The sequence below is a fragment of the Homo sapiens genome, chromosome 1, assembly GCF_000001405.40.
Source record: "Homo sapiens chromosome 1, GRCh38.p14 Primary Assembly".
Taxonomy (NCBI): domain Eukaryota; kingdom Metazoa; phylum Chordata; class Mammalia; order Primates; family Hominidae; genus Homo; species Homo sapiens.
In genome coordinates, this window is record NC_000001.11 from 168637908 (window position 1) to 168657524 (window position 19617).

The window sequence follows — 19617 nt, forward strand, 5'->3', positions numbered from 1 at the left end:
TCCATAGGAACTTGTCAAAATGTACATGTCTTTGTTCACATAGTATGACCAGGTTTCCTGCAAACAATTTAAAAGAAAATGAGAAAATAAAAAGAGGTAAGCTATTGGAGTGCTGAGAATAGTGTTCTAAAAAATAAGTGGGATTCTAGGTAATTTTTGATAGGAGGAGAAGTAATGGCTGGAAGATGTGAGTGAGGTCTGGCTGCAGGAGTAGAGGTCTAAATGAGACATCTTGGGAATCCCGGGCAACTAGAGGTTAGCTTGAAGGTGAAACATTGGGAGGGGGATTGGTATTTGTGAGGGAGGAGAGGGTCATCTGTGAGGGAGGTGATGAGGAAGTGTCAAAAATTACTTTACTTGGATCCAAGTTCTCTTGAGAATTTGTCCTGGAACCTAAGGTTCTATTCTCATCATAAATGCACTTTTAATTTTTTAGTATTTAGAAAATCCATTCCATGTAGCATTACTGTTGGGTGCCTCTTTAACATTCTTTTCTTCCGCTCTTACTTCCTCACAGACTTGGTTTTGTTAGTATAAACAACCACGTCCGGAGAGCCATGTGTCTAGGGAAGGCTGGTCCCCGGGCCAGCCCAGGGATGGAGGTTGAGGGAGTTGACAATGATGTTCCAAGCCAATCAAAGTGGTTCTACGCACTTTAGGTGTCTTTGGTTCAGGGCAAATGATAATTCTGGCCACTGAACCATGAAGAAAAGTCTGTTGGGGGCAGCTAGGAAAAGTTAACTTGCTTTAACAAAGATACAGACAGAAAATGGTTTCTTCTTCCTCTAAACATTTTCTTGTCTGGATGATGTCACGTCTGGAATTACTGTAGAATCTTGAAACCAGGAGAAAAACGAATCTGAGGGCAAAATGACCCATCCAAAATGTCAGGACACATAGAGAGAGAAAGAAATTGGATTCTAATGCTGTTAAATCAGCTGACTCTGCAGTCACCCTATCTCGAGAGTTCTTGCTTTGTGGCGTAATGAACTTTCTTTTTGCCCCAGCTTCACTGAGGCATAATTAACATAAAACTGTATATACTTAAGGTATATAACTTGAAGTTTTGATAAATGTACACATTGTGAAATGATCACCACATTCAAGCTAAGCTAATTAACATATCCATCACCCAAATAGTTTCTTTCTTTTCTTTTTCTCTTTCTTTCTTTCTTTCTTTCTTTCTCTTTCTTTCTTTCTTTCTTCCTTCCTTCCTTCCTTCCTTTCTTTCTTTTTTTCTTTCTTTCTTTTTTCTTTCTTTCTATCTTTCTTTCTTTCTCTCTTTCTTTCCTTCCTTCCTTCTTTCTTTTTCTCTCTCTTTCTTTCTTTCCCTTCCTCCCTCCCACCCACCCTTCCTTCCTTCCTTCTCTCTCTTTTTCTTTCTTTCCCTTCCTCCCTTCCTTCCTTCCTTCCTAGAGTATTTACAATGTATCTCTTAGCAAATTTCAAGTATGCAGTACAGTATTAGCTATTTTTTAAGTTTATTGAGGTAAATTTATATACATGAAAATGCATTCTTTTTTGCATAGAAGTCTGTGAGTTTAAACAAAAACATTGGAATTGTTTATCTGTTATGCATTGTTAGTGTCTTTTCTGATTAATTAAGTCATTTTATTCAGAAAATATTTATTTTGCATTAACTGTGCCAACCAGGTTCTATATAGAATTTACAATGAGACATGACATGGTCCTTTGCTTCAAGAAAATAATTATTTCCTAAAAAATATGCAAATGAAAGATGATTCTATAGTAGCACTATTTTGAAAACTAAATCTCAGAGTCTTTAGTTTCATTCGTTCAACCATTCACTCTTTTATTAAACATTTGTTGAAAGCGTATGATGTCTGTCTGCAGATATATAAAAGATAAAATCCATCTTCAAAGGGAGACAGAATTGTAAATTAAGAGTTATAATACAATAAAATGTGTTCCACTAGGAGTTTGTATAACTTTTTATCAGCACGTTAGTTATGGCACATATAAATTTCTTTGTAATCTTGTCAATCTATGCCTGCTTTTGCTATTCTCTTAGTTTATAAGAACCTTGAAGGCTTTAATAACTCATGTCTGACTCTTCTTTGTACCTCCAGAAAAACTAGCATATTGTCTTGTCTAGTAAATGCTCAAAATAAATATTTGTAGAATAAATTAAATATTTGTTGAGTAAATGAGACAAGTTTAGTAGGTCTTGAAGGAAGTGTCACATTTGTCTCTAATGCCTAGATCCTTTGACTAATGTAAGTGACTAAAGAAAAGTCAAAGGCACAACTATTTATGATAGAAAAAATTTTTACACAGAAAGTTGTCATTACCGCTATCTTTATTTTGGCCTTCCTAACCAACATTTAAGATAAATCAAGTGGTCCATCTTTAACTTTTGACAAAGGCAAATTGAGTGCCCTATCTCATTGACATTTGACCAAATAAGGATGTAATGATGTTCCATTGACCTTTATCTAGGCATAATTTGTCATATCAGCTGAATCTAGTCTTGTCAAATACTGATATATAATTTTCCATAATTCAGCATATTTTTAGAACCCTTCTCTTTCATGCTATTCATAATTTCCAACATTGTGCCCTGCAGATCTACTTGGCTTTAACACCTGGTTTTTGAGGGTGTATAATGTACTAGAACATATATAATCTGATTTAGTTCTCACAACAGCCATATAAAATTTTCAATACTCACAAATACCTATTACAAATGCTAATAATGTAAACACCATATCCCTTTCTAAACGTTACATGTACTCTTGTGTGGGCTGCATTTTTACATAGATATTTGGAGGAAAACCAAGAGATGTGGTTCAGTTAAATAGGCAGTTAATTTAAACTCCCTTGTTCTTACAGTGTGTGTTGTGTTTTGTTTACATATGAAGAACGGGACATCACAAAGGCTGGCAGATCCAAGTGAGCACTGCATGAAGGGAGAGGGCAGGTAAACTGGAGATGGAGGAATTGGCCCTAGCGCTGCACTACCAGCAATTATTTAGGGAATTTTTCTCCAAATGTATATGTTCAGAAGCTATGTAGAGAAACATGATCTCATGCATAAAAGCATTTGAGAAATGCCCTCTATTGTATCATAATGTAAAGGTTCAAAGCAGTCCTTCAGCAAAGGAATTTTGCTCAACCAAGCTTTTTCCAAACTTTACCAAAGAAATGTTGGTAGATGTATTTATATGTGCAACATTCATTCATTTCTTTATTCATACAATAGGTATTTCTGAGCACTTACTTTGTGCCGGGTCCAGACACTGGAGATTCCAGCAGATAAATCTTCATCCTCATGGCTCTTGCCGAATAGGGATATATCAAGGAACAGATTTTGGGAAACACTGGTCAAGGAGTTCTTGCAACCACTGCTATAAGAAGGAAAAATTCAAGGATATATGATTTTTTCTTTATATGTGTAAATATGTGGGACAATTACTAGTCATCAGAGCAGTGGGCTCTCATCTTGCTTTGGCTCTTACAAATATGCTCCAGGGGCAAAGTTACAAAAACCACAGGACTTGAGGGCTTAGAGAAATGTTTTTCTCTTCGTTCTATAAGCTAATTTGATGCCCCAACACACAAATACTTGCTGACCATGAGTATTGTTTGTGGCCAGCTGGCCATACAGATACCTTCTCTGGAACCTTCCTGGTTTCTTCCCGACCTGTGTTCGCTCTCATTCCCGTCTTTACTTCCATCAGAATATTTGTTTACATATCCCCAACCTCAATCCCACCTTTTACTTGTCTAGCCTTTATATTTATGCCAATTTTTCTCAGTAATTTCCTACAGAATGAGGAAAAAATGACTTTTGTAGTTATGCCATAGAATCTTTGAGAGAAAAGTTTCAGAATAGTAACAAAATCTAAGGTGAAATTGAAAAGAATTGGGTGGTGAGTAGAATTGGAAGTGAAGAAAGTTAGTGATGGAGTTGAGAATTTGGGGTAAAAGGAAGGCAGAAGTGAAGAAAGTTAGTGATGGACTTGAGAATTTGGGGTAAAAGGAAGGCAAGATAAAGAAAGTTTACTTAACTAGTTTAGCAGAAAAGTTTTAATGAGCATTTATGGCCACAGAGAACATTTAGGTGTATCTTTAGTGTGAGGTAAAGAATCCTGAGAAAGGAGATTCATTTCCTAGGTGAAGGAGTCAGGTTGGCAGGAAGGATTAATTATGAAAAAAAAGGAGTTTATTTTATACTTGATTCAGATGGGAATGAAGAAAGGCTGGACATAAAAACTTTGAAATTGACATAAGCTGTTTCATTCAGACCTGTTTCATTCAGAGCCACATGCGTTGTCTACTATTCCTTTACAGAATATGTCACTAGACATTGAGTCAGCTTTTCCTGTAGTTCCTAAAGGGGAGGTAAAGCCCAAAGATGAAGACAAAAGGCTGTAAGTGTCCAGCATTCTAAGTTAAAAGACCTATCAGATCCCTTCCTAAATGGGCTTATTAGAGAGGCTCTCCTACCAATCCCTGTTCCCTCCTTTGCCAATATAATAGGCCCAGAGAAGTGGAGGTCACCTTAGGATGCAGAAGGAATTAAGAGAAACCCTGTCCTTCCTGCCCATGGGAAAGACTTCCCTCCCTGAAGCCCAGGCAAGTGAAGAAGGCTGTCCAAGGATTGTAAAGATTGGGGATTTGGGCATGAAGGGAAACTATTGGCATTTCATTCTTCAGCTAGTTTCTGCTTTTGAAGCTGACTCTATGACCTGTGCTTGTACCACACGAATAAGGAAAACAGCATTGGAAAAAAGATGGTATGTGGGACAGTCTGCCCAAGAAGGATGCCAAGATGGGCTCTTCAAGTTCTCAGTTCTAGGGAAGCATGGAGAGATGTACTACACATGCTCATACTCCTGGCCATCACTGTGGCAGACAGATGAGATTGGGCAACCTAAATATGTTGATAGGCTTTGGGGTGTGTATTAGTCCATTTTCATGCTGCTTATAAAGACATACCCAAGACTGTGAAGAAAAATAAGTTTAATGAACTTACAGTTCCATATGGCTGGGGAGGCCTCACAATCAAGGTGGAAAGCAAAAGGCACTTCTTACATGGTGGCAGCAAAACAGAATGAGAGAGAAGCAAAAGTGGAAACCCCTTATAAAACCTTCAGATCTTGTGAGACTTGTTCACTACCACGAGAACTGTATGGGGGAAACTGTCCTTATGATTCAACTATCTCCCACTGGATCCCTCCCACAACATGGGAGAATTATGGGAGCTACAAGATGAAATTTGAGTGGGGACATAGAGCCAAACCATATCAGGGTGGGACTGAGGCAAATATGTATGCCCATCAGAAGGTTGGGTCATAAAGCTGGAGGTCAGATTGATAAGGAGGCCAAGTCTCATGGCAGATCACTAATGCTTTGGAGATCTGTGCATGAGCAAGACTTGTCAGTGGGGTCAGTTGCAGTGACCGCACATCATGACGTGGCCTGTAGACAATGAGCTAGAGCAGTTAACCCACAAGTGGGCAGCAACCTCACCCTGTTAGGGATGATGTCTGGCCAACCCACTGGAGCCACAGGCATTTCCAGCCAGCATTGAGGTTTGTGAAGGGAAGAGATAACTTTAAATTCAATTCCAAGAAAAGATTTATAAATAAACAGGACTAAGCTTTAAATACTAAATGGAGGCAGTTCTTAAAACCACAATATTTAGAAAAATTAAGAAATTAAGCCATGAAGTGGTTAAGGGACCCCTAACTGAGTTAGATAGGAACAACATAGCACAGTTGGTGACCATCATTGGAAGAAACAGAAGTTTCAAATTTATATTCCCAGTGAATTGACACTCACTCCTCAGCCAACCAGGGAGAAATAAATCAGACTTGGATTCAAAGCCCATATGCTGTAATGTGAGCTTCTTGAGAGCAGGGGCCACATTTCTGTTAATACTTTCTCTATAATCCCTTACACTTAGATCACTGTTCAATACCTAATCAATGATAAATACCTGTTGATCCAAGTTAACTAATCAAATTGCTTTACCCCAGAGGTTGGTAGAATAAATTTTACCTCCGTAGGCATATGTGGAATGGCAGAGCGCCTGATAACCCTCTTGAATTGGTGGATACCATATTAAAGGTTGTTAAAACAAGGGAACATCATGGGAATGTGTGTTTGGGTCACTTTCAAGGCCTATCCTTACATTCTGTCCTCAGGGCCTCACTGCACACTTCCATTTATACCTGATTTATATAGTTCATGCCTTTTCTTATTACTACTCAGGGCCTCTTTTGAAAAGAGACTCCTCTTTTGGCAATTTGGTTTCATTCACTTATTAAACAAATATTTTTGAGTGTGTCCTATGTATCAGGCACTGTGCCAGGGAATCAGGAGTAGGTAAACCAGTCTGTTGTTATGGCTTAGTGGGAAACACTGGATTAATGACAGAATCTCACAAACAAAGGCATAAACACAAAATGAGGCAAGTGTTATGGTGGAAAAGAGCCTTACTCCTTGAAAGCACACATGGAGGATACCACCTAGCCTGGGCTGAGGACATCTGGGGCTGAGAGTTGGTAGATGGATAGCAGTTAGCTGGTAAAGGGAAGTTTGGATGGGATTTGTAGAAGAGCATTGCTCCTAGCACAGGGAACCTCATGTGTAAACATCCTTCAGTGGAAGAGAATACAGCATCTTTGAGGAGCTTATCACTTAGTTCAGGAGTAAATTAGAAGCAAATTAATTCTTGCCTAATTTGACTGTAATGGGGAAAGTACTTGTCTTTGTATTTACCCCTTTTCAATTTCTCATATACAAAATAGAAAGTGGTTTTTACCTATCTTCTCTCTGAAAACTGGCATTAGTCAGGGTTCTTCAGAGTATCAGAACAAATAGGGCAGATAGATAGACAGACATAGATAGATAGATGGACAGGCTAATAGACAGGTAGGTAGATAGATAAGAAGAGAATGCCTATTTATTATGGGCATTGGCTTATGGCAATATGGAGCCGAGAAGTCCCATAATGTGATCTGCAAGCTGGAGAACCAGGAAAGTTGGTGGTGTTATTTAGCCTGAGTCCAAAGGCCTGAGAACCAAGAGAATGGATGGCATAAGTCCCAGTCTGGGGCTGAAGGCCAGAGAATGGGGAGAGGGAGGGGTGCTGATGGTGTACATCCTGAAGTCTGAAGGCCTGAGAACTAGTACCTCTGACGTCTGAGGGCAGGAGAGGACGAATGTCCTAGATCAAGAGGGTCGGGGGAGGGGTATTCACCCTTCTTCTACTTTTTTGTTTTTTCTGGGCCCTCAAGAGATTGGACAATGCCCACCCACATTGGTGATGGTGGTGTTTCTTTACTCAGTCTGATCCAAATGCTAATCTCTTCCACAAACACCCTCGCAGACATTCCCCCAAAATATTTCATTAGAGTATCTGATTATCTGGGTATTCCACAGTCCATTCAAATTGACCCATAAAATTAACCATCACAAAACCTCTCACAGGTGTCTGAAGACATGGCTAAAGGGGCTGAACAATGTCAGCAAAACCATGCCAACTGACTTCAGCTGGACAGGAGATCAGGGAGGGAGGGGGCAGGAAGAATGGAGGAGAAACACCATCCTTGGCCATGTTTTGCCTATTTATGGGCTACAAATACATCTGATTTTGAAATTTATTGCCAGCATCTATACCATAAGTTTGAGGGAAGTGTTTTGTAGCACATTCTTCCAGAAACCAATGCTAAAATGGCCTTTTAATCCTGGTCTGGGTTCCTGAGGTGCATTGAGAACTAAGGAGCTAAGAAGGCATAATTGTCCAGAAAGAGCAAGGAGGGGATCTGGTTCTTGACCGAAGCAAAGCAAAGTTTCCTTTATTAAACACTCAGGGAGGAGAAGAAGAAGCAGGATGAGAGTAAAATCAATAGAGCACCTACAGGCATTATCACCCTGCCAGAACATCTCAAACTGATTCATCACGTCCTGCTCCATGGAACCTGGCTATTGAGAGTACTGTCTCTAGAGAGTATAGCTAATTTCCATGTGAAACAGAGAATGGACTTTACCCAACAGAAATACTGTAATTAAAGGGCAATGGTGGTTTTGTTGCAAAACAAAATAGAAGATCATATAAAGCTTCAAAAGGGTCATTTACAAGACTGGAAATAAAGCTTGTAGATTTAGCCTTTGTAGGATCCTGAGTTGCTCTCACCGCTGAAGCCACATTAGATGCTGTGCTTTTGGCTTTCCTCACTCGAGGTCTCTTGCCTTTCCCTTGCATTTATCTCACCAAAAGATTCATGGGGCCAGACAGACCTGCAGGCAAACCTTGGACAGTTCTTAACTACTCTGCACCTCAGTTTCTTTGTAAAGGGAAATAATGTGATAGTCTACGTCGTAGGGCTATGGTGAGGGTTAATTAATTAATATCTCTAAAGTGCCTAGTATCTGGTGCTCAAATGTAAGCTCCGTGACTACGGTCATTTTTGGTCACTGGTGCCTCCTCAGCACCTGGAACAGTGCCAGGCACAAAGTAGGTGCTCAAAAAATATCTGAAAATGAATGAATGGCACATAGTTCTCAACAAGCATTACCAGTTGTTACATCCCCCTTTAGATTCCAATTCCTTTGATAGAAATGTCTTCTCTTTTACCTGTGCCTTTATAAAATATCTAAAGCAGACCATGGCTCCCTATATCCACTCTTGCCCTCCTCCAAGCCTAAATCTGATCTTGTCCCTAAATCCTTTAGATGTTTTCCCTATGTCACTATAAAGTTCAATACCATTCAGCTGGTCCACGTGTACATCATGACTTGGTCCTTGACTACCTCTCATTCTTCATCTGCGGCCCCCTGGTAACAAATCCCCCCTCACCCAACTGCCCGTAATAAAGCAGTTTGTGCTCCAGTTTTGTTGGGCCAGATATCTTTTCCAATGGGCTATGTCTTTTGGCTTAGGCCTTCAAACATACTATCACTTTCCCTCCAATATTCCTGTGTTCTCCTTCATCTGATTATCTCTTACTCATTCTTCTGACTTCAAATTAAATGTTTCTTTCACATTTTCATTGATTCCCCAAACTAGGTTAGATACCCATGTTATAAGTTTCCATAACACTCCACACACCCCCTTTATATCCTTTAACATATAGATATATTTGTCCTATTGGCATTCCTACTTGATCAAATAATCCATGAAAGCTAGGACTCTGTTTTGCACATGATGGTGTCCCTACAGCCCAGCCAAGTATGTGGCACTCAACAGGTGCTCACAATATATTAGTAAATAAATGCCAAATGAAGAACATATAAAGAGCAAAGGCTTTAGACTCAGGCAGCCCTGGGTACTGATTCTGCCTTCACTACCTGCCAGTTCTGTGATCTTGGCCAAAATGCTTATCTTCAATGAGCCCTAATTTTTACCTGTGTAAATAGGAATCATATGACCAATCTCATAAGGTTTGGTAAAGGTTAAATTAGATACAGAATGTATAATACATCAAATAGTAGCTGGCTCAGAAGACATGCTTAATAAAATTAGTGATAATCATTACAATTGTTAACATTGATAATTTGATTAAAGCTGACCTTGAAGATAAGCTACTCATCTACCTATCCAGAACAAGTAATACTCAACGAGTAATTAAGAACACCTATTTCCTTTACCGTATTCCTTAGTTAATCACCAATGTTAGGGTGGGCTAAAGATATTGGCTTAAGCTTGGAAAATGGAAAAAAGAGGAAAATTATATACAGAAACAATACAATCATAACAGAAATGGTGGACAAAGGTGGCAAAAATGTTCCATGGTTGTTTGTAGCCATTCAAAAGTGGGTTTGCAGAAAGAAAGCATTTGAAAGACCTAGAGCTCCATCTTCCTTGCTCTCCCCGTCTCCCTTAGCTACAGATGCTTCTAAAATGTACTTGCCATGTTCTTTGGCAAGGAGGCCTTCACCTTTGACTAGTGCTATTTCCATACTGTGTGTTCCAGTGTAGTGTTGATCAGTGAATGGCTGAGAATCTCTGTCTTGATGTTGCCTGTGATCACACATCAAAACCCAATGTTTATTTTTATTGATCAGCTTTTAGAAAACCCCAAAGGTAAGCAAACACTTTAAACTTGGTAATAGGCATTCAATATTTATCCAGCTTTTTGTTATTACTAGCAACCTGACATTTATTTGAACAACTATTTTTTTAAGAGAAGTAATTCAGACAAATTGTTGCTTCATGAATGAGTGTGAGTCTGTTGTTGAAAGTTCTCAACATTGAGGCCGGGTGAGGTGGGATAAAGTTATCCCAGCACTTTAGGAGGCTGAGGTGGGTAGATCACTTGAGGTCAGGAGTTCGAGATCTGCCTGGCCAACATGGTGAAACCCTGTTCTCTACTAAAAAATACAAAAAGTAGGTGGGCGTGGTGACATGCCTGTACCCCCAGCTACTTGGGAGGCTGTGGCACAAGAATCGCTTGAACTTGGGAGGTGGAGGTTGCAGTGAGCCAAGATCATGCCACTGCACTCCAGCCTGGGCAACAGAGCGAGACTTTGACTCAAAAAAACAAAACAAACAAAGAAACAAAAAAACCACAAAAAAACAGTTCTCAACATTGAGTGGGCTCTGTTGTCACTATATGCTGGAAGTCACTGTGGTTTAAGTTACTAGGGTTTCAAAATTCTGTTTGATACATGTGGAATTAAGGTTGTGGTGTCAATGCTACAATGATTAACACCTTACACTGATAGTGGGCATTTATTTACTGGGCCTTCTTTTGTACTTCCTTTTTTTTGTGGAATTCTTTAAGGTAGGTAACTTTTAGCCATTTTACAGATGAAGAAAATTGAGTCTCAGCAGTGTTAAGTAATTTCCATTGCATTATATCTCTGGAATTTGATAGAAAATATATGAAAGAGATTGGTGCAGCTCAGCATCAATGAATGGCTATTTTGCTGAAGGCGTGTATGTTTTTGCACTGTTCATTGTTAACTAATGTAACATTTATACATAGCTCAGAGAGACTTTGGTTAATTCCACATAACTGACAGAAAGGTAGAAAAGTCCATTTGCAACTAATTTTTGGTCCATAAAATGCCAAAAATGTTGTATGTTTAAAATGATTTGTATCAACCAGAATATTAACACCATATGGCACCTGAGACAAAGGAGAGAAATGTTGAATATAATTTAAAGACAAGAAATAACCTGAGTGGTTTCCATGGGAGAAAATGTAGAAAGAAGGTGTAGTGGATGCAGTAGTGTTTCCCTCAAATTAATTCCTCCTTGCCCTGCTTAAGGACTGAAGCCCTTGTTTCCCCAACTGTTGGGAAGGTTGGGAGCCAGCCACTCTGACTTGAGCCTGTCTCTGGGCCTTGTCTCTAGCTGGAGAGGGCCCCCTTGCCCAAGGTAGCAGCTCCTTTCCCAGGTCAGCCTGCATTCAGTGAATGGTAGATATGGAAGAATAAAAGCTTGATCTGGCCCCAATTTGGGGCAGCACTGAAGGGTCATCAAGCTCCAGAGCTCTTGTAAGTAAAACTGAGTGAGTGTGTCACCCTCATTGTCATGAGAGGGGCCCATGGACCCACCACCAGCAATGGTAATGCTGTATGGCCTCCGGGGCCAGTTCAGATTTCATTGCGTCCTTCTCCCTATTATGAACTCAGATGAGATTGGCATAGGCAGCCCATACTCTGTCTTTGAAACAAAGACAGTTATTTTAGGATGTAGCTCATTTGATGTTTTCTATGGCTTGCCTGCCTGTTTTTAATTCTATTCAGTATATGTACAGTTAGAAATTAATCAGGAGGAACAGTTAAGCTCCTTTTGGAAGAAAGAGCATAGAGAAACAAAGAGAGTTCTCTCAACTAGAAATTAATTCCACCACTCATCAGCAGTCTCCAGCTGAATTAAAACAATCCTCCGAGCAGATTTGGAATACCAGTTCTGGTGCAAAAACCTTTAACTTTCCCTGCAGTGCTTATGCCTTGATGAACATTTTCCTACCCCACATATTTAGGGATAGTTCATGCCTGAATTGGGCCTAAAGTTTGAAAACCTCCTTTCTGGCTCCAGAGATGGGTGTATGTCCATACGTTTTGAATTTGGAGGTTATCGGGAGCTCTTCCAACTCACTCTGGATAAGGTGGAAAAATCACTTGCAAAAACCACAGCCTTGGAGACATCTGCAAAAGACAGGTCTATGTCCTGCCTGTTCCTCAGACTCCATATCCTCACTTGGGATCTCTGGCTGACCATTACCCTCTATGCTAGTGACGCTCCCTCTCCAGGCTCTGATCTCTTCCTCTAAATCTTCTCTCATCCCATTTGAACTCAAAGCTTCTTGAAGAACACTCTCTTTTGGGCTCTCTTTCCTACAGAGTAGAAGAGGCAGTTGTTATGCTGCCCACAATAAATTATGGCAAAGTGGAAGTGAACACAATTTCTTAGTTCCTTCTATGAGCTAGGCATGGAGCCACATGTTTTTACACACAGTTTCTCATTTTATCTTTTCAACAAATCCCTAGGGTAGGAATTATTAATCTTCCCTCTACAGGCTCGGTATCCAAACTCAGAGTTAAATAACTTCTCCAAGGTCATTCAGCTAAGAAACAGCAGAAGCAGGATTTAGAACTGGGTCTAACTCCAAAGCCTGTGCTCCTTATTAAATGTCCTTGCCCTACTCTCCTTTGTGGAAACCTGAAGTCCATTATTACATTTATTCATTTTGTGAAATGTAAACATGACCCAGATTGGTAACACATTAAAAACTACAAAAATCTTATTCTGTTCAGAAGACAAAACAACTCGAATCTTGTATGGGATCTGCATGACACAGACCACTTACACAAAGACAATGTGTTTTTAGCAACAACTAAGATTTGGCAGCATTTTTGAGCTTAATTACAGAGCCCTTTCATGTATAGAACTATATTAATCCTTACAGCAAATTGTGGAGTCATTTTATCCTTATCCCAATTTACAAATAATGAAATGGAGAGTGAAAGAGGTTTAATAATTTGTCTAAGATCACCATCTAGTCAATGGTCAATCAGGTCTTAGCCTCAGCTCTTCTGACTCTAGATCCTACTCCTGGCATCACACTCTGTTGATTTTGAGTGATCTTCAATAATTCATAGGATGGGGAAAAAAAAAGAAGAGCCCTTTCTTCGACTTGCCCCAGTGTTTGACCTTGTCTAAATTAGAAGCACTTCTCTTTATTATTATTATTATTATTGTTATTATTTTGAGACGAAGTCTCGCTCTGTTGCCAGGCTGGAGTGCAGTGGCGGGATCTCGGCTCACTGCAACCTCCACCTCCTGGGTTCAAGAGATTCTCCTGCCTCAGCCTCCTGAGTAGCTGGGATTACAGGCATGCGCCACCACGCCTGACTAATTTTGTATTTTTAGTAGAGACAGGGATTCACCATGTTGTCATGGTGAAAGGTGCCATTTCTAAATCCATGCGAACCTATGCAAATCCAGTGCTTACATTTTTAATCACCTTTGTGCATTAGAGTATTAATAATGATGAACAAAAAATATCCTGCCATTGATGCTCTTATTCTCATTTTATGAATGCCTAAACTTGTATGTTCTAAACTCTAACCAAACCAGAATTACTTTCTGGCACAGAGTAGGCACATTACAATATTATTATTATTTTAATTTAAACTTTTATTTTAGATATATGGGGTGCATGTACAGGTTTGTTACATGGGTATATTGCACCCAGGTAGCGAACATAGTACCTAACAGGTAGTTCAACCCCTAGTCCCCTCTCTTTCTCCCCTCATAGTAGTCCACAGAGTCTATGCATTATAATATTGTTATTGTTATTTCACTCCAATCACTCAAGACAACTCCATTCCTGAAGTACCCAGATGACCCGCATTCTATATTCCTCAATTTAGCTGCTGAAACCTGCTGGAAAAAAGTTTACAATTTTATAGATTTGGAGCCTACAAATTTAGAGTTTTGAATTTCTACCTGGCAATTTTTTATGTATCTCAGGTGAACTCCCTGAGACAAAGTGAACAAATTCATTGTGGGGTGAGGGGGTGGTTGTGACTTGTTTTTAAACATTTACGACTCTCCTTGAACATCCAGCTCATACCCTTCCTCCCCCAAAAACCTCAATCCTCACATCATGCAGTGCACTGTGGCCCTCAGGCCAGGATACCTCCAACTTTGGGCAATCTCGGCCCCAACAAGCTCAGGTTATCTTCATCTCTTGCTTCTACCTCCCTCCTGCCCACCCACTGCAGTGGAAGAATGTTCCTTTTCCTGTTAAACGTATTGAATTCTGACTCCTTTAGGGTCCTCTCTCCATTAATCACAATAAGAATAAAAAACACAATAACTGTCAGACAAAAAAGAAAAAAAAGGTACCTGCTACATCGTCTATCTCAACGTATCCCTTTATCTCCTTTTTATTCCTCATTCCTTTTTAGCTAAACTACTTGAAATGGTCATTTAAACACCCTCTCCATTGACATTCATCATTAATGGTGTTCTCAATGTTTGGCAACATTGGCTATGGGATACTGAGAGCTTAGATATTCCTGGCATTACAGGAAGTTTATTACACTAATTGTTGTCTTTAAATCCTGAAAACACTATGAATGAGTTATTATTATCTTCATATTGGAAATGAAGAAACTGTCTGAGAGGATGTAATTTGCTCATTGTCACTCCTAGCATGTGGAGGAGCTCCACTTCCTCTGAATGGCTTTTGTGCCGCCCATCAGCAAACCAAGGTTCATTTGCTGACTTAATCAAGTGACAGTTTTGAAATTTGAATCCAAATTTTCATTTGTCTTTTAATTCTATGCTTTTGTTTGCTTGCTTATGTGTTTTTACTATATCAAGCTGCATTTTCCTTATCCTATCTAGAGTGGTGTGTATAGAATTTAGAATTTTGTCTTTTTAAGAAAACAAGTCTTTTGGAGATAGTTCTTTACATTTGTGTAGACCCTCATGCTTTCCTTTAATACTGATCTCTCTTCTGTTTTCCAACAGAGCAGATAGACATATCTGAAATAATAGATTAATGATTCACACTTCATCCAAGTTCCTCTGGGAAGTAACAGATAAATATACACTTATTTATAACACAGCTTACAAGTATCTGCAAAGTAGAGGATGCTCTGTCAATATTCTCCAGTCACACATGTGAGAATACCCAGTCCCTGTCTACCTAATACCTATCGGGCCAGAGAAACTTAGTCTGGGGCATGGATGTGTGCATTTGTCCAAGTGTCTCAGTCCTGATTATGTTCATTACTTGAATGCAGAGTCCCAGACTTTAGAGCCAGGAATAACTTTAAAGGCTCTTATTCTACCATTTCACAGGTAAGAAGGTTGAGAGGTTCAAAGTGACTTCTAAACCAGTTTTAGAACATCCAGGACTTAAGCCAGATACTCTGAAAGCAACTGCAGCACTCTTTCATCTTCAGTCACTTGGTATAGCTGAGTCCTGTGTAAAGGGACACATGGCAATTTGGGAGTTCAGAGATTCAAGCAGTTCCCTCATTGATATGCACCATGTTACTCTTGAGCCAAGCTGATGATTTCCTATTTTCTCAGACTCCCCTGGGGATAGGAAGGTCTGAATTCCAGTAAAAGGCTCCTATTCGATTCTGAGTTTTTAATGGAATGTATGCTACCATCCTTGTGAATTGGAAAGAACAAGGGTAACTTTCTGCAGAGTTGATGACTTGATGCAGATTACCTTGATATGGGTGTGCTCAGTGAGCCTTGGATCTACAAACCATAACTCTTAGCCACATTCATCATTTTGGTCAATTAATTAAGCCTCAGCTTAAAAGGGCCATTAATATCTATAGATGTTGCTTGCCAAACTCCAGAATCTTTCTTCACTTGAAAAATATGTTGATCCACCTACAAACTTGGAGCAGAAAAAAAGAAAAGACCCAAAGAGCTGGCTCATCCTGCAGTCTTGGCCAGCAATGCTCACTGCTGTGAGTTGACTCATGTTCTTGGCTGGGGAGGTCGATGCCAGTTCAGTGCCCTAGAAACGCTGCTCTCCTACTGTGAAGTTGGGGTCCTGAAAGCCACCAAATGTTTATGCCAGAAAGCTAGGAAACACTGGAATAAATTTTTCTAACGTGCTCATCTTCTAGCCCCTTGAATCCCCATTTCTACCTCTAGCCCTTGAATATCTAATAAAAATCCCTGCAGTGTAAATGTTGTAGTGAAAAGAGGCCTGCAAAAAGAGGCATTTTAATTTTCTTTCTACTCTTTATTATCTGTGAGTCCTTAGTCACATCACATAACCTCCTTGGACTTTGTATTTATTTTTTTTTATGGCGCTATAAGAAATCACTACAAATTTAGTAGCTTAACACAACATAAATTTATTCTGTCATAGTTCTTGAGGACACAAGTTTGAAAGTAGCATCACAGTGCTGAAATAAAGATGTTGGCAGGGTTGTGCTCCCTTTGGAGACTCTGGGGTGATTCTATTCTTTGCTTCTTCCAACTTCTGGTGGCTGCCGGCATTCCTTAGCTGTGGCTGCATCCTTCAAATATTTAAGACCAGTATCTTCAAGTCTCTCTCTGCTTCATCTTCACGCCACATCATTCTCTGTGTATCTGTGTGAAAAATCTCCCTCTGCCTCTCTCTTATAGGAAGACATGTGATTTTATTTGGGGGTCCACTTGGCTGATCCAAGATCATCTTCCAATCTCAAGATTTTTAATTTAATCACACTGACAAAGGTAGCATTTGCCAATTCCAGGGATTGGGAAGCATTAATAGTGTCTCTTGCAGGGAGGCATTTTTCAGCATACCATAGGCTTCAAATGACTCATTAATTGTATAACAATAACACCGTAACCACTGGAACTATCTTACTTTGAATTCCCTTCCAGCTATGAGATCGAAGATGCTATGAATCATATATCAATTGCAAAGTATTCCACATTTCAACACGGCCTAAAAGAAAGCTAATGTGATAGCCTTGGCTGTAACCTGTAGCCATAAAGATATTCCTGGCTTAATGGACAATTTGTAGATGTTCGTCCCTGAGACCAGTTTTTCACTTTGGGTCCTTATCTTTGCCTCAATGTTGTCCCATTCATTGTATCCAAAGCCTGGCCATTATTCTCCTGTATAGATGTGTGTCATTGACAGATACAACTGGCTATCTACCAATAATTTGGACTCCCTTCTCCATAGCAAACAGTCTTTGCTGGGAAGCAGCTACCCAACCAGGGGGCTATATTTCCCAGCACCTTTAAATCTGGGTGTGGCTATGTGTCTAATGGAAGGTGGGTGGGAGCAAAGTCTGTCATTTGTAGGCCTGGCCTACCTGAAGCTTCCATGTAATCCTTCATACTCTCTTTCCTTGATGGTCCATTCCCTGGATGTATGCTCTTGGAGCAACCTTAGAAACCATATTTTGAAGATGGAAGAGGTTCCATCAGCACCAGTTCCTGAGTGGGTGCTTTGAGTAAGCCCACAATCCGTTCTCCTACTGATGATTGGACTTTGGTGCTTTAGAAATAAATTAATGTTGTGTCAAACCATGGGTGCTTTGGAGTTTATCTATTATAAGCAGCTGCCAATCATTTTCAATACCATGACTGCCAATTTATTCCCATTAGCATTAATAAATTGTTAAGATGGCAGCAGAAAGGAGCTTGCAACCTTCCTCAAGTCATAATAGCTAGACTACCTGCATAAGAATCCCTTGGGTTTCTGCAAATTCCTATATCTCGTTCTAAATAGATGAAATTATGACTGCGGTAGGGGTGATTGTGTGAGTTTTGATGGTAGTAGTGATGGTGTAGGCTATATTCTGCATTTTAAATCATCTTCTTTGTAATTCTTAAGCATCCTAAATTTTGAGGAATCCAGTTTATAGTGCTACCCATCACATTTTAAAAGAGTCCACATTACGTCTCAGGAGCCAGCAATCCTGGAGCAGAGAGAAATGACAGGAGGTTATCTATATACATTGCCTATTTTTAAGAATGGATCTTGTTTTGAGATTGCATGGGATAACTCATGAGTGGTTTGCTAGGAATATAAATAGATAACCACTTTTCACTTTAATATTGTCCTGCATGGTTCCAACCTTCATTGGATATTGGAGGTTTCGTTATAACAAAGTGAAAATATATGTAAATTATAGCTATTCCAGGAGTAGGATGAGGGTGAGGTGAGTGAGACACTTGCCTTGGGTGCAAAAGTTAAGGGAACACCAAAAATCTCAGTAATTGAGGTAAATAAAATTGTAATGCTATATTTTTAAAAATTAAGATTAATGCAAAAATCTATAATGAAAAAAGTCAAAATTTTAAATAAAGACAGGCACAGTGATTACCAATTGAAGATGGAAAAACTCAAATTAGTGCTTGTATTTTTATAAAGTTGAATTTTGCGCAGTTACTTCGACTCTCTACCCCAAACTAAAATGTTAGTCAAAAGGAGGAATTTGATGAAGAACATGTCGGTAAATGCCAATGACTTTATTGGCAATTAATGAATATTTACTAAACACACGTTTCGTTACAGGTGCTGAGAATACAACAATGAACAACACAGATTAAGCCTCTATTTTTATGGAGTGCCCTACAGTTAAATGACAGATGTCACTTTTGCTCTCAACTAATTTACTAGCACTACTTAAATGGCTCAATTCAACTATAAGGGAGAAAAGAAATGAAATCCTGCCATGTACCTGGAGATTGGAGTACAAGAAATACTTGGTAAACAGCACAAATGACCATCACCACAGTGCACTCTTCTCACCACAAAACATTTGGCCCATTCTCTCTCTCACAGGCAAGGTACTCTCCCATGGGATACAAAGCAAACATTCTACTTAGACATGTCAGGAAGCTGAAATTCTAGAGGCTCTGAATGATGCCAGGCAGTCTCTATATCAGACGGCATTTATATCAAGTTTGGATGTGACTTATCTTCATGCAAAGCTCTATGAAATAAAAAAGTAACTTTTATGCCCTGTATGGATATCCCAGGGCTGACATAACAAATAATCACAGATTTGGAGGTTTGAAACAACAGAAATTTATTTTCTCATGGTTCTGACAATGAGGGATCATCAAGGCTGTGCTTCCTCCAGAGCCTCTAGGGGAAAACCTTTTTTTTGCCTTTTCCAGCCTAGGTACCTCCAAGTGTTCCTTGACTTGTGGCTGCACAACTTCAATATCTGCTTCCATATCCACATATCCTTCTCCCCTGTTGCCTGTGTCTGTATCCTTCTGCGTGTCTCTTTTAAGAATACTTGTCTGGATTAAGGAGCCACACAGATAATCCGGGATGATCTCATTAAAGATGCATAATTAATTTCATCTGCAAAGGTGTTTTTTCCATAATAAGGTCGCAATCACAGGTTCAGGTTCAGGTTCAGGGATAAAGATGTGTGCTGACCCTGTGCTTATGTGGGGAGTGGGATGACCTAGTGCTGATGTGGAGAGTGTGATGACTTAGTGCTGAATTGGGGAGTGTGCTGACCCTGTGCTGATGTAGGAAGTGCAATGACCCTGTGCTTCTGTGGTGACTTCCTCTATACGCATATGAATGAGGTAAGGGCTTTGGAGAGGCAATTCCTGCATAATATCATACTTTACTATCTGTTCAGGTGGTTTTTGTATTGCTCCATCACTAAGTTTGCTAG

At 39.6% G+C, this 19617-nt stretch overlaps 1 long non-coding RNA gene across 1 annotated transcript in view; it reads right to left on the reverse strand.

The window, feature by feature from the left end:
• Nucleotides 1-216: 216 nt before the first annotated feature.
• LOC105371604 (uncharacterized) overlaps nt 217-19617 on the reverse strand; it is a 28428-nt gene continuing 9027 nt past the window's right edge. The window contains exons 2-3 of the long non-coding RNA XR_922259.3: nt 3242-3368; nt 217-859 (exon numbers count right to left, since the gene is read on the reverse strand). This is a non-coding gene — a long non-coding RNA (uncharacterized LOC105371604). The remainder of the gene's footprint in view (nt 860-3241; nt 3369-19617) is intronic.